This window comes from Homo sapiens, chromosome 8, assembly GCF_000001405.40.
Source record: "Homo sapiens chromosome 8, GRCh38.p14 Primary Assembly".
Classification (NCBI taxonomy): Eukaryota; Metazoa; Chordata; class Mammalia; order Primates; family Hominidae; genus Homo; species Homo sapiens.
In genome coordinates, this window is record NC_000008.11 from 73,857,077 (window position 1) to 73,884,081 (window position 27,005).

Consider the following 27,005-nt stretch of genomic DNA (forward strand, 5'->3'; position numbering starts at 1 on the left):
TAATAACAAGACAGTTTGGGAAACTTTTTAATTCAAGGAAGAAAGTGATTTGTTTTCTTCTTTATCATGCTCAGGTATACTATACTGTGATTTTAGGGATTTTACCAATACTTTCTCCTGACATACTAGGTGGAAACTTGTATATGCTGGTCAGAGTCATCAACAAGTAGGAAAAAAAAAATCACATTTAATTCTTACAGGAAGATTTTCTAAGCTGAAAAATACAGCAAAAATGTTTAAACCCTGGCACTTAAGGTAGATAGCAAACTAAAGTATCTCATACATAGAGAACTGACCAAAATAAAAATACCAACTTTTTTCACTACAATAGTTTCAATGTATGTGTTCTAAAATATAATAATGTATTATAAAAGATTGCAAGTATGTAAGAGTATGTAAGATCAGTATTTTGATAAAGAGCAAGTTCAATCTTCTAAGCCTTCTTAAAAACAACTTTTGGGCCAGGCGCAGTGGCTCACACCTGTAATCCCAGCACTTTGTGAGGCCGAGATGGGCAGATCACAAGGTCAGGAGTTCGAGACCAGCCTGGCCAATATAGTGAAATCCTGTCGCTACTAAAAATACAAAAATTAGCCAGGTATGGTGGCAGACGCCTGTAGTCCCAGCTACTCAGGAAGCTGAGGCAGGAAAACTGCTTGAACCCGGGAGGTGGAGGTTGCAGTGAGCCGAAATCGCGCCACTGCACTCCAGCCTGGGTGACAGAGTGAGACTCCCCGTCTTAAAAAATAATGATAAATAAAAATAAAAATAAAAAAACCTTTTGCTTCAAAGTTTACATAAACTTGGGCCTCAGTTGCCAAAAGTAGCCATAGAATGATTCTGAGATTTTCAGAATACCTTTAAGCGGCTGGGCATGGTGGCTCACGTCTGTAATCTCACCACTTTGGAAGGCTAAGGCAGGCGGATCACCTGAGGTCAGGTGATTGAGACTAGCATGGCCAACATAGTGAAACCCCATCTCTACTAAAAATCCAAAAGTTAGGCAAGGCATGGTGGCTCACGCCTGTAATCCCAGCACTTTGGGAGGCCGAGGTGGGTGGATCACCTGAGGTCAGGGGTTCAAGACCAGCCTGGCCAACATGGTGAAACCCAGTCTCCAATAAAAATACAAAAATTAGTCGGGTGTGGTGGTGCACACCTACAGTTCCAGCTACTTAGGAGGCTGAGGCAGGAGAACTGCTTGAACCTGGGAGGCGGAGGCTGCAGTGAGCCGAGATTATGTCATTGCACTCCAGCCTGGGTGACAGAGCAAGACTTCATCTCAAAAAAAAAAAAAAAAAAAGAACATAAAATATATTTATGACAAGTTTCATTCTAAGAAGGAATTAAGAAATATGAAAAGTACAAATACTGACTTATAAAATCAGTTTTGACATCCTACGTTGCCAATTCAAGAAATTATCAGTTTAACTTTCAATCATTTTCAATTATTAAAACTACAGCAGCTGAATTTTTAAAAATTCAGTATATTAACTGTTGCCAGTTCATGAAGATTTAAAATAATTTAAAAATATATTTTTAAAAGAAAAGTCTGACTTCAGTCATAAGCAGACACCAAAAAAAAAGTCAATGTTAGAAAAAGTGCTAAAAAAAAAAAAAAAAAAGCAGCAGCTAGTACCTTTTAACACTATTTTTACTATTTAGGATCATGGGTAGTCCTTTCCAAGCCATCACCATTAACTGTCTTAACTTTCTGTTACTTGTACTTATTTTCATCACGAACTTGCAAGGCTTGCAAGGACTGAACCAACCTTCTCTATCATTAGGGGGGTTTTTGCGTGCGTGTGTGTGTGTGTGTGTGTGTGTGTGTGTTGGTTTTTTTGCTTTCTTTTTGGTGAGTCTTCTAAACTGAGCAATTTCTTCAAGCACAGGGGGTTTTTGCGTGTGTGTGTGTGTGTGTGTGTGTGTGTGTGTGTGTGTGGTGGTTTTTTTGCTTTCTTTTTGGTGAGAGTCTTCTAAACTGAGCAATTTCTTCAAGCACAGCTGACCCTCAACAACACAGGTTTGAACTGCACAGGTCCACTTATACATGGATTTTCTTCTGCCTTTGTCACTCCTGAGACAGCAAGACCAAACCCTCCTCTTCCTCTTCTCAGTCTATAACAAGGATAAAGATTTTTGTGACTAGCTGGGAATGGTGGCTCACGCCTGTAATCCCAGCACTTTGGGAGGCTGAGGCAGGGGGACCACTTGAAGCCCGGAGTTTGAGACCACCCTGGCCAACATGGTGAAACCTCATCTCTACTAAAAATACAAAAATTAGCTGGGCATGGTGGCGCGAGCCTGTAATCCCAGCTACTGGGGAGGCTGAAGCAGGAGAATCACTTGAACCCAGGAGGTGGAGGCTGCAGTGAGCTGAGATTGCGCCACTGCACTCCAGCCTGGGTGACAGAGTACTTAATGAATAGTAAATATATTTTCGCTCATGATTTTCTTAATAACATTTTTTCTCTATCTTACTTTATTGTAAGAATAGAGTATATAATACATATATCACACAAAATATGTGTTAATCAACTGTTTATCTTATAGGTTAGGTTTCCAGTTAACAGTAAGCTATTAGTACTTAAGTTTTTGGGAAGTAAAGTTATATACGGATTTTTGACTGCACAGGTGGTTGGCTTCCTGTTGTTCAAGGGTTAACTGTAAATTAGAAGAATCTGAAGTAAAGCTCTGTCATCATGCAAAAGCTGTAACTATGTTTCAGAAACGCAATCTGTATTTCATAGACATTAACAGATGTTCTGTCCTCTGCAACATCTAAAAGAACCAAACACAAACTCCCTATACCAAAATACTCCCATCTCCCCTAAGCACACACAGTTCTACTCTCAGACACACCTTAAAAATAAAACATTTGGAAAAGGAATACCATTTCAGAAATGAGGAAAAGTATACAAAGACACAACACATTTGAGTTTGGAAAGAAAGCAGTCACATAATCTTACCATCAATGAAGCAAGACCTAAAATTACTTGCTAAATTACTTGCTGTCAGTAAGGGTTACATACAGGAAGCTTAAGAAAAAATCTACTATGGGGGGCAGGGGGCGGGGGAAGAAAAGATACTCTCATTGAAGCATTATCTGCAAAGTGAAAGAATTACCAACCAAATATTAACTGGGCTGAAAGATGTGTATCATTAACAGGAAGCTTACCCTGATTTTTAAATGCTGTATAAATTTTCCTTTTCAACCCAATTCTTTACTTTCTCTAACTGGGACAAGGCAGAAGCAAAAGATAGACAGCAATGGAATCAGAGATAAGGCAAGAAGGCAATATACTCAACTGTGTTTTCCTATCACTTCTGGCCTATTTTGAAAACAGTACTATTTATCTTTGTTCTATTTATTAACCCAGAAAACATCTGAGTGATGATGCCAGTAAGCACTGCCCTCATTGAGTTAAAAATCTAATAAAGACAAAGTGTCTTTATAATAGCTACAAGGCAGAAGTGAAAAACCCTACGAAAGAGGTAAAACATGATACGGAGGCACACAAGGTACTAAAAAGTATGTACAGCTGTGAGGATGAGGCTAAGGTTGGTGGATTTATGATGTCAAAGTATTGAGTTACAAAGAACTAAAGTGGATTTTGAGTAAAATTTGAATTCAGGAAGAAAGTTCAAAGAGTGGAGGGGCTAACTAAATGATCTGCTAGGTAAGTTTTAAAAACAAACAAACAAAAAACCTAGGAACAACAAAAAAACAAGACAGGGAGCTATCAAAACAGCCCAAAATTCAAAATGAAAGTTCAGGCTAGACATGGTGGCTCATGCCTGTAACCCCAGCACCTCAGGAGGCCAAGGGAGGAGGATCGCTTGAGGCAGAGTTTGAGACCAACCTGGGCAACATTACAAAAAATTTTAGAAATTAGCTGAGCATGGTGGCATGTACCTGTAGTCCTAGCTACTTGGAAGACTGAGGCAGAAGGATCCTTTGATCCTAGAAGTTCAAGGTTACAGTTAAGGTACAGTTGTATCACTGCATTCCATCCTGGGCAACAGAGTGAGGTCCTACTTCTAAAAAAATAATAAAAATAAAATGGAAATTCAACATAAAAAGTCACTAATAATAGTTGCTAAATACTCCTAGCAAGTAAAGGATACTGACAGAATCTCCACATATGCAGTAATATCCATAAGGACAAGAGAGATATAAGCCCAGGGGCCAGCGTCAAACAACTTGATTCTCAAGAATTTTAGTGAACTGATAAGTTCAGCATAGGTTGTAGAATGAGAGATACAAGGACTAGCAATAATAATGACCCCAATGAAGGGCAAAAAGACTTAAAAACAAGAATATCATTCCAAGTACCTAGAAAGGACTATTCTTGGTACGGGGCCCTGATATGGTTTGATACAGGCCCCTAAGATTACTTCTGTTGTTATTTTTTGTAGAGATGGAGTCCTGCCATTGCTCAGGATGGTCTCAACTCCTGGCTCCAAGCAATCCTCCCACCTTGGCCTCCCAAAGTGCTGAGATCCCAGGCATGAGCCATCGTGACCAACCCAGATTACGTTTTAAATGAGATTTTTATGCATATTCAACTCCAACGATTCATGATATAATAAAATATTTTTAAATTTTGTTTAGGTGGACTCTACCAGCATTAAAGAAGAATCACTGAGCTCATAACTGAGCCTATGGAACCGCCCCATAGCCACATCTTAATGTACTCAGTTCACTAAAACTGCTCCACAAAAAGCTCTCATGACAGCTATTTTGTTTGTTGTATAAAATGGCCATCAAACAAAACATTTTACTAAAGCTGATAGGACAGTCAATAAGTGCTCAGATATGTACAGGAAATGGGTGGTCTTTGACAGAACTATAATTATGTAGGAACAAAACAAATATAGATCTTTCCAATCTCGAATTTGATTCTTAAATCTTTCAAGAGGATTAAACTTTGAAATGTCTCCTGAACTCTAAAACAGGTACAAGGAGATGTATTACAACTTACCCAATTTACATAATTGGCACACCTAAATTCCTGCATTGTAGTGAAGACGAGTCTACAACTTTGGCTGCACATTAAAATTACCTGAAGGCCAGGTGCAGTGGCTCATGCCTGTAATCCTAGCACTTTGGGAGGCCAAGACGGGCAGATCATGTGAGGTCAGGATTTGAGACCAGCCTGGCCAACATGGTGAAACCCTGTCTCTATTAAAAATACAAAAAATAGTTTTAGGTCTAACGTTTAAATCTTTAATCCATCTTGAATTGATTTTTGTATAAGGTGTAAGGAAGGGATCCAGTTTCAGCTTTCTACATATGGCTAGCCAGTTTTCCCAGCACCATTTATTAAATAGGGAATCCTTTCCCCATTTCTTGTTTTTCTCAGGTTAAACGTTAGACCTAAAACCATAAAAACCCTGGAAGAAAACCTAGGCATTACCATTCAGGACATAGGCATGGGCAAGGACTTCATGTCCAAAACACCAAAAGCAATGGCAACAAAAGACAAAATTGACAAATGGGATCTAATTAAACTAAAGAGCTTCTGCACAGCAAAAGAAACTACCATCAGAGTGAACAGGCAACCTACAAAATGGGAGAAAATTTTCGCAACCTACTCATCTGACAAAGGGCTAATATCCAGAATCTACAATGAACTCAACCAAATTTACAAGAAAAAAACAAACAACCCCATCAAAAAGTGGGCGAAGGACATGAACAGACACTTCTCAAAAGAAGACATTTATGCAGCCAAAAAACACATGAAAAAATGCTCATCATCACTGGCCATCAGAGAAATGCAAAGCAAAACCACAATGAGATACCATCTCACACCAGTTAGAATGGCAATCATTAAAAAGTCAGGAAACAACAGGTGCTGGAGAGGATGTGGAGAAATAGGAACACTTTTACATTGTTGGTGGGACTGTAAACTAGTTCAACCATTGTGGAAGTCAGTGTGGCGATTCCTCAGGGATCTAGAACTAGAAATACCATTTGACCCAGCCATCCCATTACTGGGTATATACCCAAATGACTATAAATCATGCTGCTATAAAGACACATGCACACGTATGTTTATTGCGGCATTATTCACAATAGCAAAGACGTGGAACCAACCCAAATGTCCAACAATGATAGACTGGATTAAGAAAACGTGGCACATATACACCATGGAATACTATGCAGCCATAAAAAATGATGAGTTCATGTCCTTTGTAGGGACATGGATGAAATTGGAAATCATCATTCTCAGTAAACTATCGCAAGAACAAAAAACCAAACACCGCATATTCTCACTCATAGGTGGGAATTGAACAATGAGATCACATGGACACAGGAAGGGGAGTATCACACTCTGGGGACTGTGGTGGGGTGGGGGGAGGAGGGAGGGATAGCATTGGGAGATATACCTAATGCTAGATGACGAGTTAGTGGGTGCAGCGCACCAGCATGGCACATGTATACATATGTAACTAACCTGCACAATGTGCACATGTACCCTAAAACTTAAAGTATAATAAAAAAAAAAAAGAAAAAAAAATACAAAAAATAGCCAGGCATTGTGGTGAGTGCCTGTAATCCCAGCTACTTGGGAGGCTGAGGCAAAAGACTCACTTGAACCTGAGAGGTGGAGGGTGCAGTGAGCCGAGATCATGCCAGGGCACTCCAGCCTGGGTGACAGAGACATCATCTCAAAAAAAGAATTAGCTGAAGAGCTAAGAAAAATGACAATACCCAGGATGCATTCCAGAGCAATTAAATCATAACGTGGGGATGGTATTTTTTTTAAAGTTTCCCAGGTGATTTCGATGTGATATCAAAGTTGGAAACCACTGGTTTGAACTGCATGGTTAACTCAAAAACAACAACAACAAAAAACAAAAAACAAACCAAAAAAAAAAAAGGAGGAAAGTATGATCTACAGTAGAAAATGAGAAAATGAAAGCAGAATCAAACAAGAAACCTGGATGTAGCAACATTACCTTTTACTAGTTTTAACAGGACTTCAATACTTCCAAATCAAAAGTATACTGAAACTTAAATCAAAATACAGCTGGGCAGAGTGGCTCACGCCTGTAATCCCAGCACTTTGGGAGGCTGAGACAGGCAGATTGCTTGAGGTCAGGAGTTCAAGACCAGCGTGGCCAACATGGCGAAACCTCGTCTCTACTAAAAATACAAAAATTAGCCAGGCATGGTGGCACATGACTGTAATCCCAACTATTTGGAAGGCTAAGGCACGAGAATCACTTGAACCTGGGAGGTTGCAGAAAGACAAGATCATGCCACTGCACCGGGTGACAGAGTGAGACTGTCTCTAAAAAAATTTTTTTTAATTAAAATACAGTCATTTCTCATTATTCACAGTAGTTAAGCTCTCTACAAAGTTGTGGCAAACACTAAATAAGTAAATATGGAATCCATGGTTAGAGGAAATACAGGGTTAGATTCCTGCCAGCCTCTGGTCACATTATTTTCTTCAACCAATCAAAAGTAACTTGTTTGCATTTGTCTAAAGACTTTCTTTTTGAGACAGAGTCTCGCTCTATGGCCCAGGATGGAGTGCAATGGCATGATCTTGGCTCACTGCAACCCAACCTCCACCTCCTGGGTTCAAACAATTCTCCTGCCTCAGCCTCCCGAGTAGCTGGGATTACAGGTGCATGCCACCATGTCCAGCAAATTTTTTTGGGGGGGGGGGGCGGGGGGGGCTGAGGGGATATTTTTAGCAGAGATGAGGTTTCGTCATGTTGAAGCTGGTCTCAAACTCCTGACAAGTGATCCACCCAACTCAGCCTCCCAAAGTGCTGGGATTACACGAATGAGCCACCATGCCTGGCCTCTTATTTACTATATATTGTTGATTAATATCAAACTCACAGCCAAAAGCACTATAACACATGCCTGAACAAATTTTCTCCAAAAGGCACAGCACAGCCTTCACGTATACAAAGGAACACTAGACAGCACATAAGTTAAACAGTGAAATTACCAACAAAAAGCACAAAAAAGCGAAATAATGTGGCACAAAATAGACCTCAAAAAGTCTTGTTTGACCTCAGCTGGGAGTGTGTGCATAGAATGACAAATTCTTCACTGCTCTTTAAGTGTGCAAACGTCAAAAAAAAAAAAAAAAAAAAAAAAAAAGCACTGCGAGTATCAATTTTAGGGTTACAAACAAATGTTACGAAGACGTGAATTCACAAATATGGAACTCATGAATAATGAAGCCGGACCATAGAAACAATCAAGGTAACCTAAACTAATTGTTATAAAGAAATGAATTCTATGTCTGTAACCCCAGCACTTTGGGAGGCTGAGGCAGGAGGACTGCTTGAGCCCAAGAGTTCAAGACCAGCCTAGGCAACATGGCAAAACTCATCTCTACCAAAAATACAAAAATTAGCCAGGTGTAGTGGTGTGCACCTGTAGTCTCAGTTACTCAGCAGGCTGAGGTGGGAGAATCGCTTGGGTCCAGGAGGCCAAGGCTGCAGTGAGCCGTGACGGCACTACTGCATACCCTAGCCTGGGTGAGAGTGAAACCTTGTCTCAAAACGAACAAAAAATATGCCCAACAAGGTAATTTTCTCTACTAGAATCCTTAAATTGGTTTTCCTAAGAATGTAACAAGTTTTCTTTTATCAGATCTCTCTATATATTTTTAAAACCTATTACTCGATTTCCTTAATATATATATGTTCCTTTCATGTAGTACAAAAGACTATTCTAATTTTAAAATTTTTTAAATTTTATCTTATGGACTATCTCTAATCATAAAATGCAGCAATATTTAAAGAAAAGGCAAGGTGGTTATACTAGACAACACCTGAGATGCCCTCTGGCTCAAAGGTTTTGTAAGTCTAAAGACTGAAGTTGATAACGCCTCTTTTAATTACAATAAAGGCTTATAGGTGAACACAAACATATTCTCAGCAGACCAGGAGCAGTGGCTCATGCCTGTAATCCCACCACTTTGGAAGGCCAAGGCAGGTGGATCATGAGGTCAAGAGATCAAGACCATCCTGGCCAACATGGTGAAACCCCGTCTAAAAATACAAAAATTAGCCGGGTGTGGCAGCGCGTGCCTGTAATCCCAGCTATTCGGGAGGCTGAAGCAGGAGAATTGCTTGAACCCGGGGGGTGGAGGTTGCAGTGACCCAAGATTGTGCCACTGCACTCCAGCCTGGTGACAAAGCAAGACTTGGTCTAAAAAAAAAAAAAAAAAAAAAAATATATATATATATATATATATATATATACTCAGCAATATTTTATACTACAATCACATTTTTTAGTAGTAGGACTGCAATATAAATTCTTATCTGAGGAACAGCTCTCCACTCACCCAGAGAAGTAACCTGAATCCAACTTGATACTATCAAACCTGATGGACTCTCAGCTTGGTCCTATACAACTTCAAATGGAAAACAAGCTGCCATATTAATACTATGAAACTAAATAATCCCTACATTATATGCAAAAATGAATTCAAAATGAATCAAAGACCCAAATGTAAAAGCCAGAATTATTATATTTTTGGAAAAAAACTTAGATGCAAATCTCCATCACCCCCTGGATTAGGCAATGATTTCTTAGATATGACACCAAATAAACAAAGAAAAAAACATAAATTTTGCCAAAATTAATTTTTGTGCTTCAAATGACACTATCGGAAAATGAAAACAGCCCACAGAAAAAAAGTAAATTGGCTGGGCGCGGTGGCTCATGCCTGTAATCCCAGCACTTTGGGAGGCAGAGGTGGGCAGATCACAAGGTCAGGAAATCGAGACCAAAATCAGCTAGGTGTGGTGGCAGGCACCTGTAGTCCCAGCTACTCAAGAGGCTGAGGCAGGAGAATCGCTTGAACCCATGAGGCAGAGGTTGCAGTGAGCCGAGATCACGCCACCGCACTCCAGCCTGGCGACAGAGCGAGGCTCCGTCCCAAAAAAAAAAAAAAGAGGAAATTTTTGTGAATGTAATAAATAATGTCTAATAAAGGACATGTAGTCTAAATATATAAAGAATTCTTATAATTCAACGAAATGACAAATTGTTTAGGACCAGGTGTGGTGGCTCACGCCTGTGATCTCAGCATGTTGGGAGGCTGCAGTGGGTGGATCACTTAAGGCCAGGAGTTCGAGACCAGCCTGGCCAATATGGCAAAACCCCATCTCTACTAAAATATAAAAACTAGGGCTGGGTGCAGTGGCTCACGCCTGTAATCCCAGCACTTTGGGAGACTGAGGCGGACGGATCACAAGCTCAAGAGATAGAGACTATCCTGGCCAACACGGTGAAACCCCATCTCTACTAAAAATACAAAAATTAGCTGGGCATGGTGGCACACGCCTGTAGTCCCAGCTACTCGGGAGGCTGAAGCAGGAGAATCGCTTGAACCTGGGAGGCAGAAGTTGCAGTGAGCCGAGATCACGCCACTGCACTCCAGTCTGGCAACAGGGCGAGACTCTGTCTCAAAAAAACAAAAAACAAAAAACAAAAAATTAGCCAGGCGTGGTAGCACGTGCCTGTATTCCCAGCTACTCAGGAGGCTGAGGCAGGAGAATCGCTTGAACCTGGGAGGTGAAGGTTTCAGTGAGCCAAGATCATGCCACAGCCACTCCAGCGTGAGTGACGGAGTGAGGCTCTGTCTCAGAAAAAAAAAAAAAAAAAATTATTGGGCAAAAAATTTGCATAGATATTTCTCCACCGAAATACCAATATGCACAAGAAAAGACACTTAATACATCATTAGCCATTAGTGAAATGCAAACCAAAACCACAATGAGATGCCACTTCACACTAGGATGCTATCATCAAAAAACCACCATAATAAACACTGGCCAAACATAGAAACTGGAGTTCTTGCACAGTGCTCACAGGAATGCATAATGCTGCAGTTGCTGTGGAAAAGTTTGGCAATTCCTTAGTGTGGTATTGCGATTTACAACAAGAAATATATATCTTCATCCAGCTCCTAAAACCCTTGGAATCTTGGAAGTTATAAATATCCTTTTATATGTTAATACCATGACTGGTGGCTGGGGGCTCCTGGAGAGCCTCAGAAGGGAGACTGGCAGCCAAAGGAACCAACCATGTGATTAGAGGGTGGAAACATTCAGCCCCACCCCATCAATCTTTGGGGAAGAAGGGGGGGCTCAGGGTTGAATGGAACACCAATAGCCAATGATTTAATCAATCATGCCTAAGTAATGAAGCCTTGTAAAAACCCGAAAGGAGAGTTTGGAGAGCTTTTGAATTGGTGAATAAGAACATAGCCACATACCCCACGGGGCCAAAGGCTCCTGGGTTCATGACCCTTACAAACCTCACATATGCATAGCTTCATCTGTCTGTTCAATTGTATCCTTTAAAATATCCTTTATAATACATTAGCAATTGTGAGTATACTGTCTTCCCCGGTTTCTGTGAGCTGATCTAGCAAATTAATGAACCCAAGAAGGGGGTTGTGGGAACCTCCAATTTGTAGCCAAGTCGGACACAAGTCGTGGGTAACCTGGGAACCTACAACTTGTGACTGGTGTCTAAAGTGGGGGCCAGTCCTGTGAGACTGAGCCCTTAACTCTGGTTAGTGCCAGAAATGAACTGCAGAACACCCAGCTGGTGTTGAAAAATTGCTTGGTGTGAAAAAAAAAAAAAAACCCACATATCTGGTGTCAGAAAAGGAGAATCAAGTGTTGTGGGCGAGTACATAAGAAAAATCATTGTTTTTTCTCTATAGACTTAGAAAGTTAAAACACAGAGTTACTGTATGACCCATTTGTTCAACATTTACTGAGGTCCTCCTACATGCAAGGTATATTAACAAAAACAAATTAAAACACAAGCCTACATAAAAACTTGTACATACATGTTCACAGCATTATTCATACTAAAAAGGGGAAACAATCCAAACTGTCAATTAATCCATTGATGAATGAAAACAGGAAACACAAATATCTGATATTTAAATAACTGGTGAATGGATAAACTGCAGTACAACCAAAAAATGGGCCATTACTTGGCTACGAAAAGGAATAAGTATTCATACAAGCTACAACATGGATGAACCTCAGAAACATTATGAACTGGGCATGGTGGCTCAGGCCAGTCATCGCAACACTTTGGGAAGCCTAGGCAGGAGGGGTGCTGAGACTGGGAGTTTCAAGATCAGCCTCGGCAACACAGTGAATCTGTCTATATAAAAGCTTTTTTTAAGGCCGGGCACAGTGGCTCATGCCTGTAATCCCAGCACTTTGTGAGGCCGAGGCGGGCGGATCACAAGGTCTAGGAGTTCAAGACCAGCCTGGCCAACATGGTTAAACCCCGTCTCTACAAAAATACAAAAATTAGCTGGGCACAGTGGCTCACACCTGTAATCCCAGCACTTTAAGAGGCCAAGACAGGTGGATCTCTTGAGGTCAGAAGTAAGAGACCAGATTGGCCAACATGGTGAAACCCCGTCTCTACTAAAAATACAAAAATTAGCTGGGTGTGGTGGCGCACGCCTGCAGTCCCAGCTACTCGGGAGGCTGAAGCAGAAGAATTGCTTGAACCTGGGAGACGGAGGTTGCAATGAGCCGAGATGGTGCCACTGCACTCCAGTCTGGGAGACTGAGCAAGACTCTTGTCTCAGGGAAAAAAAAAACTACAAAAATTAGCTGGGTATGGTGGTGCATGCCTGTAGTACCAGCTATTACGGAGGCTGAGGCAGGAGGATCACTTGAACCCAGGAGGCAGAGGTTGCAGTGAGCCTATTGTGCCACTGCACTCCAGCCTGGGTGACAAAATGAGACCCTGTCTCACCTGTCTCAAACAAACAGCTAAGTGAAAGAAGCCAGGCACAAAAGGTCATATATAATATAATTCCACTCTCACAAAATACCCAGAATAGACCAATCCAGAGACAAAAAATAGATGAGTGGTTTCCAGACACTGGGGAAAGGGGGAAATAGGGAGTGACTGCTAATGGATAAGGAGTTTCTTTCTGGGGTGATGAAAATGTTCTGCAAACAGCAGTGATGGTTCTGAACAGATTAAAAACCACTGAACTGTATACTTTAAAAGGGTAAGTTTTATATGTGGATTATATTTCAATTAGAAGAAAAAATTGTGCATTAAAAGGATGTCAAAATGGACTTTAATAGCTCACAATTTTATTTGACTAATTCTCAAGTTTTGAAGAGGATTGGCAAAAAAACACACACTTACTGGAAACCATACTTCCACCCTCCTTCCTGTGGTCTGAAAATACAAAGAAAGACCTCATGTAACACATGGTCATAAAGGAAATCTATTTTTTCCATTGATAGCTAGTGCAGGGACTAGAAATCAGAAAAAAAAAAAAGACAAAAGCATCTAGTAGAGCTAGCTTAAAATGGGAAACATAGCATTAAAAGATAATTCACCAATTCCAAAGATCCAGGAAATGAAATAACCTGTTTTTATCATCCCTATTTTATATTTGGAGGTGGGAGGTTACACAGCTATTAAACAACAACACTAGAATTCAAACCCAAGGTTATCTGATTCCAAAAGCTGTGCTCACTTATTCATTTATTCGACATTTACTGAACTCTCCTACATGTCAGGCACTAGGTTACATCCAAGAAAATAGAAAATAAGCTAATTAATACATAGCCAAAGGTATGAAGAATTTATCAAGGTAAAGGAAATTATTAGCGCTGGGATGGGAGAGCTATTTTATATTGGGTAGTCAGGAAGGGCTCTCTTAAAAAAAAAATATTTGAACAAAGCTATGAGTGAAAAGAAAAAAAAAAAAAAAAAAAGGAAGCCATCCAGATCATCCAGATGTGTGAGAAGAGCATTCCAAATAGAGAAAACAACAAGCAGGAGTAGCAAGGAGGACAATAAGGCTACAGAGACATGAGTACCTGGGAGAGGTTAAGACCTCCTAGGCTATAACATGGATTTTGGATTATATTCTGAGGAAGAGAGGGAAGTCATAGTAGGATTATGAATGAAATGACATGACTTTTGTTTAGAAAGAATCTATTGGGAATCTAAAGAGATAAGTAAACGGATGAGGGCAGAAGTAGGAAAACCAGTATGACACTGCTAATATAATCCAGGCAAGAAATGAGGATGTCATCTGTATTTACATCAGGAATTCAGAAAATCAGTTGAATTCTGGATATATTTTGAAAGCAGAGCAGATAGAAATTTGCTAATGGTTTGACTGTAGGGTGGAATGAACCCAAGGTTTCTGGCTGAGCAAATGGAATGAAGTTGCCTATATACCAACATGGGGAGTACTACAGAAAACAAGTTTGGGTAAGATAAATACAAAATGCAGTTTTATATGTTTATCTATCTGCTAATCTGTTTTTGTCTACCCACTACACTCCATAATGATTTCTGTGCAATATAGCTTTTTAAAAAGTAGTGAAACAGGACCTGAATTTGGGTCTTTTCATTACAGAGCCTGTGTTCTTTATCTCTAATGAAGTTTTACAAAAGCAGCTAAATGAAAGTAGAGTATTTTCTTAGAATAAAACAACTCAAAAGCATGCGCTGTTTTTTGGTGATCCAAGAACTACATTCACAAATAAAGGCTTTCAAATGAGGACACTTTAATACCTGACAAACATGAACAAGTATTTTGCAGATACTACTCATAATGAAGCAGACAGCAATAATATAAAGATGGAATAAAATTCATCTAACAAATGCTTAATTTAGGTAAATACTAAGGAGAACTATATTTTCAGAGAGATGCCAGATCATCCCTTTATTTTTTATTTTTATATATACTTTTTGAGACAGGGTCTCACTCTGTCACCCACGCTGGAGTGCAGCGGCACTTTATTTTTTATTTTTATATAAATTTTTTGAGACAGGGTCTCACTCTGTCACCCATGCTGGAGTAGAGTGGCACAATCCTGGCTCACTGTAGCCTCGAACTCCCTGAGCTCAGGTGATCCTCCCACCTCAGCCCCCCAAGTAGCTGGGACCACAGGAATGTGCTACCACACCCAGCTAATTTTTGTCCCACGCTGGGATCATCCCACCTTAAAAACTCTCCTTGATAATGAAGATTATCTTTGAAGGCCAGGCGCGGTGGCCAGCCTTGAAGGATAATCTGATATTACTTTCTGCTTTAGATTTCCTGCTTCATTAAGGCAGGAAAAAATACTTTCCCTCTATCCCTTAAATGTGCACACAGTGACTACCGTAAATATTTGTCCATTACTTAACACTTCAAAAAGCATTCCTAAATAGCTAATTCTGCATTAGTTTAATTCTATTTTAGGTCAGTCTATTAAGCAGTTCTACAATAGTAAGGTTCAGTACCTATAAAGGAATAATTTAAAATTCATATTTATATAATATACCAAAAAAGTGGCTTATTTTCTTGCTGCATGCGTTTGCCATAACTGTAATGTTCTTCATAGTATCTTCATATTCTTTATAAAAAAGGAAGTCAACTAACCTAATTTCATTCTAATAGAGACATAGCAGTAACTGCTGGTAAGTATGTACTTATTTGGAAAGTGACTTACTCAAAATTACACAGTAACTGAGTAGTGAAACTAAGCTCTGAAATCTGTTGATGCTGTGAAGGTGTAAGTAATGAACACAGTTTGGCATCACAGAGAAATCATTGGTGTAATTATGTAACTTTTCAGTCAAGAATTAAGCATTTACTAAACTACTTTATAGTTTTTATAGCTAAAGAAAAGAAGAAATATTCCTGAGTTTATAACACAAGGTTACTTTATGTATCATATTTTAAAAAGAAGTTCTCATGTGTATACTTGTGTACTGAGTAAAATTATAATTGTAAATTTTTACTGTTCAAAGATAATCCTTTTTTTTTTTCCTTTTTTTTTTTTTTGTTTTAGCTGGAGTCTCACTCTGTCGCCCAGGCTGGAGTCCAGTGGCATGATCTCCGCTCACTGCAAGGCGCCTCCGCCTCCTGGGCCCAAGGGATTCTCCTGCCTCAGCCTCTCAAATAACTGGGATTACAGATGCGCTCTACCACGCCTGGCTAATTTTTTTTGTATTTTTAGTAGAGACTAGGTTTCACCATGTTGGCCGGGCTGGTCTCGATCTCCTGACCTCAGGTGATCCACTCACCTCAGCCTCCCAAAGTGCTGGGATTACAGGCTTGAGCCACCATGCTGGCCTATTTTCTAACTTTTAATTATGTTGTAACCCTTCCATACTGACATCAACAAACAGACGTCGTATCTAACTGTCAAGGCAACATGACTACTACAACAGTAATGTCTGTAAGAGTCCATGTTCCATCTCTCTCAATCACTATAGCCAATTACTTGAGCAAAGAGCAGTGGGCTGGGGGCAATGGCTCATCCTGTAATAATCCCAGCACTTTAGGAGGCCAAGGTGGGCCGATGGCTGAGTCCTGGAGTTCAAGGCCAACTTGAGCAACAGGGAAAAAACCCATCTCTACAAAAAATAAAAAAATTAGCCAGGCATGGTGGCGTGTCTATAGTCCCAGCTGCTTGGGAGTCTGAAGTGGGAGGATCACCCGAGCCTGGGAGGACAAGGGTGCAGTGAGCCAAGACCACGTCACTGCACTCTAGCCTGGGTGACAGAGTGAGACCCTGTCTCAGAGAGAAAAAATTTTAAAAGCTGTGAATAATCCAAAATAATGCATTATTTCTAAGTCTGAAAATAAGCACACATTCATACTTTATCTCCTGTTATTAAATCTCAACCTCCTTCCATCCCTACAAATTGACAGTTAACAGTCTAAGACCCAGCTAGGTAAGAGAGGAAGTAAATGCAGAAATTTCACAAGGGTAATTCAACTGACCATTTCTCTCAATTATATCACTGTTTTTAGAGTTGACAAACATCAACTACTATGCACTGACTTTCTAAGATCTTAAGACACAACGTAACAGGAGGTTTTATCTAAAATTAACAATTCTAGAATGTCAAATTAGAAAATTAGACAGCATATATGTTAAAATTGCTAACTTACGAGAAGTCTGAATGAAGCAGTTAAATTCTAAAATCAGAAATTATATCCAGGAGGTCAAGTACTTCATAACATTAAATAATACATAGGAAAGAAAAAAGGTTATAAAATTTAAAAACACGGCCGGGCGCGGTGGCTGACGCCTGTAATCCCAGCACTTTGGGAGGCCGAGGCGGGCGGATCACGAGGTCAGGAGATGGAGACCATCCTGGCTAACACAGTGAAACCCCGTCTCTACTAAAAATACAAAAAATAAGCCGGGCGAGGTGGCAGGCGCCTGTAGTCCCAGCTACGCGGGAGACTGAGGCAGGAGAACGGCATGAAGCCCGGGGATTGGAGCCTGCAGTGAGCCGAGATCGCACCACTGCACTCCAGCCTGGGCGACAGCGAGACTCTGTCTCAAAAAAATAAAATAAAATAAAATTTTAAAAAAGCATTTAACAACAACAACAAAAAATTCAATTTTAGGATTCACCTGAGAAAAGAATACCTCAATACTGCTACACTTTCAAAAATGTTTAGAATCACATAAAAATTCACTTCAATAAAAGAATGCTTCTGCAGTTTGGGGATAAAAGTTTCTACCAAATAATCAGTCCCTAAAACGCTAAAACTAAAAATTTGCTACAAGAAACTTTTCATGTAATATTTAAAGATTTTTAGAATTACCAAAATTAAATGTAGATCTGTTTAACTCCTATCAATTTTAGGTATCACCACAAATATAACATTCTCTTAATGATGGTTTCTTAAGACTGGGCACATAGGCTCACGCCTGTAATGCCAGGATTTGGGGAGGCCAAGGCAGGTGACTGCTTGAGCCCAGGAGTTCCAGACCAGCCTGGGCAACATAGTGAAACCTGTCTCTACAAAATACAAAAACCTGTAGTCACAGCTACTCAGGAGGCTGAGATGGAAAAGATCACTTGAGCCCAGGGAGGTTGAAACTGCAGCAAGCCGAGACAGCGCCACTGCACTCCAGCCTGGGTGACACAGTGAGACCCTGTCTCCAAAAAAGAAAAGGTTTCTTAAAACATAATTTAACTGTAATCTTACTTGGTGATACATTACTTTTTTCTAGGAAGAAACAATAGGAAGGAAAAGAAAAAAAGAAAATGAGTAAAGAATGTCTCAAAGGGATCACATAAGTCTGAAAACCACTATCTTGAATTGTATATGGCAGAACTCTAGCAATATTAGGGAGTAGAGCGTCCCCAGCATTTACAGGTGTGCCAGAATATTGATCTCCCATCCCGGGAGTTTCATGAGGTGCTGCCTGCCAGGTGCTTCTAGCCTCCCAATCTCATCTACTTTAGTGTACTATTCAAAACTTACTTTCTATGTGGGCAGAACCTAAAAGATGGTTGAGACGCACTGACAGAATACATTAAAGCAGTTACTAGCTCAACTTTAAAATACATACTCTCCAATAAGAAATTCAAAGTCTACCCTTACTTGTTTTACTCATTACCAAGTAATGAAATCCCATGTTACATTTGTATAATATGGCATTTTAAAAAAAATACAGTTCCTCTTAGAGCTTAAGTAACTTCAGCAGCAGCAGCAACATCCTGGTGTGGGTTAGATAAATCTACTAAAAGCTTTTTGGGTTAAGGACATGGTCATTCCATGTTACAGCTTATTTTTTCCTAATCGAAATCCCCAAATGATCAATTTCCTAGTCTTCTTCCATGCTTTTTCTCCACTGCACTATCACCTTCTAATATAATAACACACTTGGCCGCGTGCAGTGGCTCACACCTGTAATCCTAGTACTTTGGGAGGCCGAGGCGAGTGGATCGCCTGAGGTCAGGAGTTCAAGACCAGCCTGGCCAACATGGCAAAACCCAGTCTCCACTAAAAACACAAAAAAAATTACCTGGGCGTGGTGGCCAGCGCCTGTAATCCCAGCTACTCAGGAGACTGAGTAGGAGAATTGCTAGAACCCTGGGAGCGGAGGTTGCAGTGAGCCAAGATGGCATCACTGCACTCCAGCCTGAGCAACACAGCGAGACTCCATCTCAACACAAAAAACAAGAACAAAACACAATTAACTTAAATATGCTGTTCTTATCTGTCTCTTCTTATGAGACTATTTATTATTAAATCCATGAGGGCAGAAATCTTGTCTGCTTTTGTTCATTGCTATAACCACAGCAACTAGATAAGTGTCTGACACATAGAGGTCCCCCAAAAGATAACTGGCTCAGTGAATAAACAAAGTTGATAATTTTATTGAAGATTTATGTATAATCTAGTTGTCTTAAAAGAGCCAAATGTTGCCATTAAGATAGTCAGGATATAAATTCTGTATAACAAAGATACAGAATAACCACACAGAAAGTAGGGTTGTCTTTCAAAAAGCTTGACATATATATTAAAATATTCTTAAAGATACTACCAGCAAATCTGCACTAGATATTTTAAAATACAAATAAAAAGGGAAAGACTTTTCAATAAATATAGGAAGCATCCGTTTTCCATTCCTCTAACCAGAAAACACAGAAGAATAGAGAGTGATAAGATTTCGATGGAACAAGGTGAAGGAAAAACTTAAAAGGGTGGTAAGAGTCTGAGATAGTAATACTTAGGGCACAGAAAAATGCACTATTGCACTGTCAATCAAGTATTTGTTTCCAATTCTTAAGACATCATGTAGGCCAGGCACGGTGGCTCACACCTGTAATCCCAGCACTTTGGGAGGCCAAGGCAGGCGGATCACCTGAGTTCGGGAGTTCAAGACCAGCCTGACCAACATGAAGAAACCCCGTCTCTACTGAAATACAAAATTAGCTGGGCGTGGTGGTTCATGCCTGTAATCCCAGCTACTCAGGAGGCTGAGGTGGGAGAATCGCTTGAACTCGGGAGGTGGAGGCTGCGGTGAGCCAAGATCGCCCCATTGCACTCCAGCCTGGGCAACAAGAGCGAAACTCCATCTCAAAAAAGAAAAAAGACACCATGTAAAGTTCAAGTTCAAGATTACCAACCTCTCTCTTACAAACAAATCTGCCTTTTCCAGATACTAAATCTAACGAGATGACACACTACGTTCTCTTGTCAAATACAAGTGTTGTGGATTTTAATCTTAATGTTTAGCCTCAAATAATGTTTTAATCTTAATACAGATAATAATCTTAAACTTGTCATAAAAAATGTTTTAATCTTAACACAGATAAAAATCTTTAAGTGGTAATGTAGCCTATTGCATCTACTGTTCAACTAGCATTCCACTGTTCCTTTTTTGGCCTCAAATGACGAAACTTCTCCAACGTCTCTGGGGAGACTAGTGTAAAGTATAATGTTTCCTGAAATTGTTCCTGTTTTTTCCCTGCACCATTCGTGATATCTCTTCAACTAGAAATGTTACATAAAACTTTTCTGTTCTGCAGGCAAGTCCAGAGGGAGAAGCAAGGTAAAGAGAATATTGTAAGGAAAACAGGTTGAAAGGGGAATAACATAAAAGCACAGGAGTAAATGTGAAGCAAAGCTATATTTGTACAAAAGAGGAAGAAGATGCAGAAAAGGGAAGAAAAACACTTTTAGCAGAGTAAAGAAAAAAAAATGGAGGAGGAACAGAGACTTGCTTCTTCCAGAAACAAAAGCAAAAAACACTTCTAAGAAAATGTGGTCTCTTTACCCAAGGGGATATTATGAAAACGCTAAAGGGTACTCAGCTGACACTCCTATTGAGCGTTCTACTTTCTCTTCCAATGCCTTTGATACCGCTAGTCTTCACCTGTGAATTAAATGCAGGCTACAGATAACGCACTCAATCCCTGCACAACTACAATTGTGGTTGCCATCTTTGCCTGGAAACAAAAAACAAAAAAACCCACAACTCCCTAGATTCGGGAAAAAGGAGTAAATTAAGTTGGAAAGCCAGAAAACCACGCCTTGCTAAGTCGGGGGGATATGGCACAGGTTAACAAACGCCTCCTACCAAACTAAGGTTCCACTAAAGGTCTGGGAATAAGGGCAAAGAGATGTATAGCCTTATCGCGACCGCAAGGGTGGGGCCTTGCAGTGGGAAACAAAATAGAAGGCAAGCTATCCCGAGAGGTTTAAGGGGGCTGAGGACTCGGCTCTCGGGAGATCGCCCATCAGGCGGTGGACACGGGGCAGCTTCGAGAGGAAGGAGACAGTGGACTGCTGGAGGAATGTCCGCGAGAATACCGAGGCTGATGGAAATAGAAGATACCCACGGGCACAGGATTAAGAGTCAAAGGGAAGAAGAGAGGGACGGGGCCGAGCAGTCTGGGGGGCCCGGCGTGGGAGGCCGGAGCAGAGGCCGCTAAGCGCCGTCCGCAGCCAGCCGCCTTCTCCGGAGACGCATTCTCGGCTCCCGCACACTCAGCCCCCCGCCGCCCCTGCCCCGGCAACAACCGCGGGCGCAGCTGTTTCCGTCGGGCCAGGGACAGCGGGGGTAAAGGCAACCCTGGGGCTGGCGGGCAGCAGACTGGCAGCGCCCGTGTGTGTGTGCGGGGAGCCGATTCTGAGACCGCCAACGCCAGACTTTGCCCTTTCTTCCCCAACCCTCCTTTATCACCCAACTTCCCGGCCGGCTGGTGTCCGCTTCGACCGACGGATACCGCACCCCCCACAACGCCTCTCGCCGCCTCTTACCCCTCCCCCGACGCCCTGAGCTGAGGGAAAACAGGCCACCCGGACCGATCCCGAACCCGCCCGGGTGTCCCCGAATCGCGGACGCCACCCCCGCCCGAACGCTGGCACTCTCTCGGCGGCTCCCTGGCCCGCCCAGATGCAGCAAACTCCTCTCACCTGCATTGACGCCATGATGGAACCATCCCCCCAAGACCGGCGAGGCCAGAGACGCAGGGGGAGGAGCTGCCGTGCTCGCGTCACGCCGCGGGGGCTCAACATCCCGGGCGCGGGGGCGGGGTCTGCGATGGGAAGGGGATGGAGCGAGGGGATTGGCTGGCGCGCAGGGCGGACGGGAGGAGGGGCTACGGGGCGGGGCGAGGGCGCGGTAAATGGCGCTCTGAGTACTTTCTGTCTCAGTCCGGCTGGCCGCTCACGCGTCGGGCCCCCATTTACTCTCGTTACTGAGGAGACACGGCTCCAGTTTTGACCCGACTACGGTTGTTTTCTTCGTGTGTACCGCGAAATGCTGATGACGTCCGGTTCCGCGCAGTTTTTTTCCTATTTCGTTTCCAACCACAGTTGTGCGGTTCACAGATTTTTCCCTTGGGATGTGTTTTCCATACCTCCAAGCCCACTCTCAGAGCCTTGGGGCCCCATAAAACTTCATGCGCAGCTGCTTTCTGGTATTTGCAGACCTGGAAGGCTTCTCGTATTCTTAATTTGGGGAAGAGAGACATAGGTTTCCTTGTACAACGGGATGAGGATTTAAGAGCAGAACGACACTGATATTTTAAAGGCGAGGGTATTTAGATTTGTGGAGCTGAAACTTGCCTGAAAAGGGAGACAAAATTTGGAAGTTTGTTGTGTGCAGTTTCTGCCCCTTACCCCCGCCCTTCACTTTTAAACTGCGCATATATCAACAATAGTTACGGTTGTTGCAGCAGTCTAAATTTGATTATCAGAATTGACCCTAGGCATGAATTTTTTTTTAAATATACCAATGTCGTGTTATATACACTTATACCATTATGTCCAGACTTCTCTTAAGCATAGTTCGTGGTGGGCAGTTTTGTGGTCATTTAGGGATGAACTTGGGTAGGGAAAGCTGAGCATACATAATTTATTTTAGGAATGCACCAGTTCTGCCAACATTTATCAGAAGTCACGTTTTTAAAAAGCTATTCTGGAACTGAAGATGTCATTGGTTTATAAGAGGAAAATGGAAGCCAAAAGCTTACACCTCATGCTCTATCTTTAAAAATTAAGGTGGCAGACACAATGAGTAGAAGGCTTTTATGTTACCAGAATGAAGGCTTAAAATCTGTCATTTTATTGACTCGGCTTTCTTTTTAGAAATTTCTTTAAGATATAAAAGCAATGTGGAATATCACTCTTTCACACTCTTAAAATAGATTACGTTCTCTGGAACTTCTCTAATCTGAAATGTGTTCAAAAAGGAAAAAGATCTTTAAAATACGCCAGTTAGTCTATGGTATAATATTAAACACTATTCATCACTAGAGAAGTTATGGTGGTATACCCTCCCCTTTCTCAGATGTCCACCTTAATGCCAGAAATGAGCGGAGTTTCCCTTTGTTGTGCAAAATGACTGTGTCCTTGAGGGATGTTTGGATGCTCTTGGTAAACCGGAATCAGCCAGAAGCATATCCGGTGTTAGCCTTGTTGTGTCATCAACATTACAACAGTGAGGAAACCCACATATTCCAATGAAAGAGGAAAACTTAAAGAAGAAGTTTCCAGTGTATTTTCTTTGAGATATATTTATTCCTATGACCTCAGAAGATCAGCTTTTACCGTCCAAGGTTCACTTTGCCTAAAAGCTGATTGTTCCTGTGGAAACAGTAGCATCGGATGACCCTACAAACAAAGCATTATGACATCATCAGAGCCAACAACCTGGCATGACAGATACTAATAAGGAAAAAAGAGGTTACAAGAATTCTGACACTCATCACAGTGGATCCAATATCTGGTCCCTTGGGTTTCATATATGTTAGAAGTATCTTCTCAGGAGGGAAAAGTCAATGCCAGTCATATCCTTTCTAGGTAATACTAAATAGCACATAATAACCTGTCTTCTTTTTTTTTTCTTTTTCTTTGAGACGGAGTCTCAGTCTCACCCAGGCTGGAGTGCAATGGCGCGATCTTGGCTCACTGCAACTTCTGCCTCCCAGGTTCAAGTGATTCGAGTAGGTGGGATTACAGGCGCACACCGCCACGCTCTGCTAATTTTTTGTAATTTTTTTGTATATTTTGTAGAGATGGGGGTTTCACCATGTTGGCCAGGCTGGTCTCGAAGTCCTGACCTCGTGATCCACCCGCCTCAGCCTCCCAAAGTGCTGGGATTACAGGTGTGAGCCACTGCGCCCGGCCATTCTTTTGTTAATATTTAATAAAAAGATCCTGACATAGGAGCCAAAACAGTGACTTACAGATGGTATGGGGGGTATATAATTATCTCCAGTGAGCATGTAATGTTAATATCTAAAACACTATTATGCCATGTTTGAAGACTAGGCTCATATTTCTACAGAGCGAGGCTTACTATCATTACTATCAGATAGGCAAAAGTTAAAATGTCTGACAGGATAATGCCAGTGCACTCCAGTCTAGGTGACAGAGCAAGACCCTGTTGTCTCAAAAAAAATATCTGACAATACCAAAAGTGAGAGAGGAAGTGGAGCTCTCATAAACTCTATAGGAGTGACACTAGTGCAATCACTTTGGAAAATAGTTCGGCAATAATGAAGTTAAAGTTTCCCATATCCTTACTGGATCTTCTTAATAGCATCATATGAGTTTTATATATATTTATATATATATTATAAATATATATATTTATATATAATATAAAATATATATATTATATATTTATATATATATTTATATATATATATATATTTTTTTTGAGACGGAGTCTCAGTCTGTCACCCAGGCTAGAGTGCGGTGGCGCGATCTTGGCCCACTGCAACTGCAGCCTGCCGGGCTCAGGTGATTCTCCTGCCTCAGCCTCCCTAGTAGCTGGGACTACAGGCATGTGCCACCACACCTGGCTAATTTTTTGTATTTTTAGTAGAGACGGGGTTTCATCATGTTGCCCAGGCTGGTCTCGAACTCCTGGCCTCAAGTGATCCACCTGCCTTGGCCTTCCAAAGTGCTGGCATTACAGGGATTACAGGCCATGCTTGGCCACGTAAGAGTACATTGAACAAATGCATATGTTAACATTGTTTGGATCTAGATTCAAACAAACTGTAAAAGAGATATTTTTGAGACACCTGGAGAAAATTAAATATAGAGTAGATATTAGAGGATATTAAGGAATTATTATTTTTGTTAGATTTGATAATGATGTTCACTTTTTCATTTCCACAGCTATTAGAAATGTCCATCAGCTTACGAGGAGATTCTCCCTCATCTCACAAACTACCTGCATCTCCACTTCCCTGGAAGAAAAAAAAAATCTGGACATACCCAAGCTGTGTATGTGCCTGAGATCTTCCCTTCCAAGGTAAAGAGAGAGCCTGAGACAGGTCTAAATTAGCATCTGGACTTTCTGCTAGTAAAGAAAAGGAAATATGGGAAACTAAATAGTAACATTAAAGGACCCACAAAGGGACTACTGGGTAAGTGCTATAATGGATAATGTAATGTGATTTATGAATGCTTTTGTTCTAGTGATTTATTAAACTGGGAAGTCAGAAGCAGTCCTGTGAACATTTGTTTGTTGAAGCATGAAAAGGCAGAATTGATGAGTCCTTGCTTGAGTCTATGCCTCCACCCAGTAGTTTGTTCTTAGTCTCCTAGGGGCTGATCTCAGCAGAGAAATGGAGACAGTTCAGTCACCAACAGTTTGTTACTGGATTTTGGAAAAGGTACCAAAGTAAGAATCCAAGGCTTGTATTCTTATCTTAGCTCTGTGATTAACAAGCTTAGGTAAGGCTTCTAATCTTTCTGGGTTTCTTTCCTTATCAATAAAATGCGCAAGTCAGACTGCATAATCTTTATGGTTTCTTCCAAATTTCAAATTCCATGCATCTATTAAAGAGAATCAAAATTGTGCATGATTTGTCTAAAATACCATGTTAAAAAGTCTAAGATAAAATGAAATGGGAATTACATACCATTTTGAGTTTAAAAATCACTTTTGTAAATATATTAAGGAATGAACTTGGTTTTATTGCAATTTATGTAGAAATACTGGGAAGTAGAGGGGGCTTTGATTAACAATTTTAAAATGCTGATGCAATCCAGTCGAAATATAGATGGGATTTCATAAAGTAGCAAAAATTCTATATTCATAATTCAGAGTGATAACAAATGCATATCTATAAAGCAAAAGTGTGTTTTTAAAAGTAATTTTAAATCCCAGTCATTTCATTTAAGTCTTCTAATAAAGGATGAAGAAGATGAACAAAATAACAATGGTTTGTAAGTGTGACTTATTTTGAGTGTGACTTATTCTACGTGTCAAAAATAGTTGATTTATATACACATATAGTTTGCAAAGAAAACTGTGAATCAGGAAAACTTTTACTTTATTCCCCATCTTTGCCCTTCTCTAGCAAGAGTTCTTTTACCCATGTCTGCAGCCCTTGATATTCCCTGTTTATTTCTCACCTAAACCTCTTACCAAACATGTTCATAGCAAGCCGTTACTTGAAAAGACTGTGGTTCCTTTTTATTTATTTATTTTTGCCATGGATCTCATTAAAAATCAAATGAAAGCCATGGACCCACTCCACAGAAAAATACATATACCCATGAAAATTTGTATTTCAGGAAGCTTCCTGACCCTTAGAAGTTCATCCATCAGGGTCAGGCATGGTGGCTCATGCCTATAATTCCAGCATTCTGGGATGCTGAGGCAGGAGGATCGCTTATGCCCAGGAGTTTGAGACTAGCCTGGGCAACATAGCAAGACCCCATCTCTAAAAAAAAATTAGTTGGGCATGGTGGCATATGCCTACTACTTGGAAGGCTGAGCTGAGATGATCACTTGAGCCAAGGGCATCAAGGCTGCAGTGAACTGTGATCATGCTACTGTACTCCAGCCTAGGTAAGAGTGAGGCCCTGTCCCCTGACCCAAAAAAAAAAAAAAAAAAGTTTATCCATCAGATCAGCAGCATAGGTGTATAAACCTCAAGATAAGGCTGGGCTTGGTGGCTCACACCTGTAATCCCAGCACTTTGGGAGGCTGGGGGCGGGGGAGGGGGTGCAGATCACCTGAGGTCAGGAGGTCGAGACCAGCCTGGCCAACATGGTGAAACCCTGCCTCTACTAAAAATACCAAAAGTAGCCAGACATGGTGGCATGCACCTGTAATCCCAGCTACTAGGGTGGCTAAGGCAGGAGGATAGCTTGAAGCCGGGAGGCAGAGGTTACAGTGAGCCAAGATCACGCCACTGCACTCCAGCCTGGGTGACAGAG

At 41.1% G+C, this 27,005-nt stretch overlaps 1 protein-coding gene and 1 long non-coding RNA gene across 7 annotated transcripts in view, besides 8 other annotated features; one reads left to right on the plus strand and one right to left on the minus strand.

The window, feature by feature from the left end:
* The window catches only part of UBE2W (ubiquitin conjugating enzyme E2 W), a 98,767-nt gene extending 76,981 nt beyond the window's left edge, over positions 1-21,786 (minus strand). For 5 of the 6 annotated variants that reach the window (NR_073121.3, NR_073119.3, NR_073120.3 and 2 more), the window contains exon 1: positions 21,732-21,786. Coding sequence is in view for 3 of the 6 variants with exons in the window: in NM_001271015.3 (NP_001257944.2) it covers positions 21,732-21,746 (15 nt within the window). In the remaining 3 variants the exon portion in view is untranslated. Of the gene's footprint in view, positions 1-13,192; positions 13,226-21,731 lie in introns of all 6 variants that reach the window. The other variant, NM_001001481.4, reaches the window with a different exon arrangement.
* Positions 15,418-15,577: an enhancer, noted in NCBI's record as "active region_27533". NCBI's record gives its function as "activates an Ori minimal core promoter by ATAC-STARR-seq in GM12878 lymphoblastoid cells {active_cell/tissue: GM12878}" and the evidence as "EXISTENCE:reporter gene assay evidence [ECO:0000049][PMID:35858748]".
* Positions 16,178-16,677: an enhancer, noted in NCBI's record as "H3K4me1 hESC enhancer chr8:74785489-74785988 (GRCh37/hg19 assembly coordinates)". NCBI's record gives its function as "activates a minimal SCP1, AML or CMV promoter by ChIP-STARR-seq in naive H9 embryonic stem cells {active_cell/tissue: H9 hESC(naive)}" and the evidence as "EXISTENCE:reporter gene assay evidence [ECO:0000049][PMID:30033119]".
* Positions 20,469-20,518: an enhancer, noted in NCBI's record as "active region_27534". NCBI's record gives its function as "activates an Ori minimal core promoter by ATAC-STARR-seq in GM12878 lymphoblastoid cells {active_cell/tissue: GM12878}" and the evidence as "EXISTENCE:reporter gene assay evidence [ECO:0000049][PMID:35858748]".
* Positions 20,995-21,872: an enhancer, noted in NCBI's record as "H3K27ac hESC enhancer chr8:74790306-74791183 (GRCh37/hg19 assembly coordinates)". NCBI's record gives its function as "activates a minimal SCP1, AML or CMV promoter by ChIP-STARR-seq in primed H9 embryonic stem cells {active_cell/tissue: H9 hESC(primed)}" and the evidence as "EXISTENCE:reporter gene assay evidence [ECO:0000049][PMID:30033119]".
* Positions 20,995-22,018: a biological region, named in NCBI's record as "H3K27ac hESC enhancer GRCh37_chr8:74790306-74791183".
* Positions 21,259-21,518: a silencer, noted in NCBI's record as "silent region_19293". NCBI's record gives its function as "represses an Ori minimal core promoter by ATAC-STARR-seq in GM12878 lymphoblastoid cells {active_cell/tissue: GM12878}" and the evidence as "EXISTENCE:reporter gene assay evidence [ECO:0000049][PMID:35858748]".
* Positions 21,539-21,588: a silencer, noted in NCBI's record as "silent region_19294". NCBI's record gives its function as "represses an Ori minimal core promoter by ATAC-STARR-seq in GM12878 lymphoblastoid cells {active_cell/tissue: GM12878}" and the evidence as "EXISTENCE:reporter gene assay evidence [ECO:0000049][PMID:35858748]".
* Positions 21,729-22,018: a silencer, noted in NCBI's record as "silent region_19295". NCBI's record gives its function as "represses an Ori minimal core promoter by ATAC-STARR-seq in GM12878 lymphoblastoid cells {active_cell/tissue: GM12878}" and the evidence as "EXISTENCE:reporter gene assay evidence [ECO:0000049][PMID:35858748]".
* LINC01617 (long intergenic non-protein coding RNA 1617) lies at positions 21,906-25,998 on the plus strand. Its single transcript, NR_147034.1, has 3 exons — positions 21,906-23,621; positions 24,951-25,086; positions 25,254-25,998. It is a non-coding gene; the product is annotated as a long intergenic non-protein coding RNA 1617 (long non-coding RNA).
* The last annotated feature ends 1,007 nt before the right edge of the window (positions 25,999-27,005 follow it).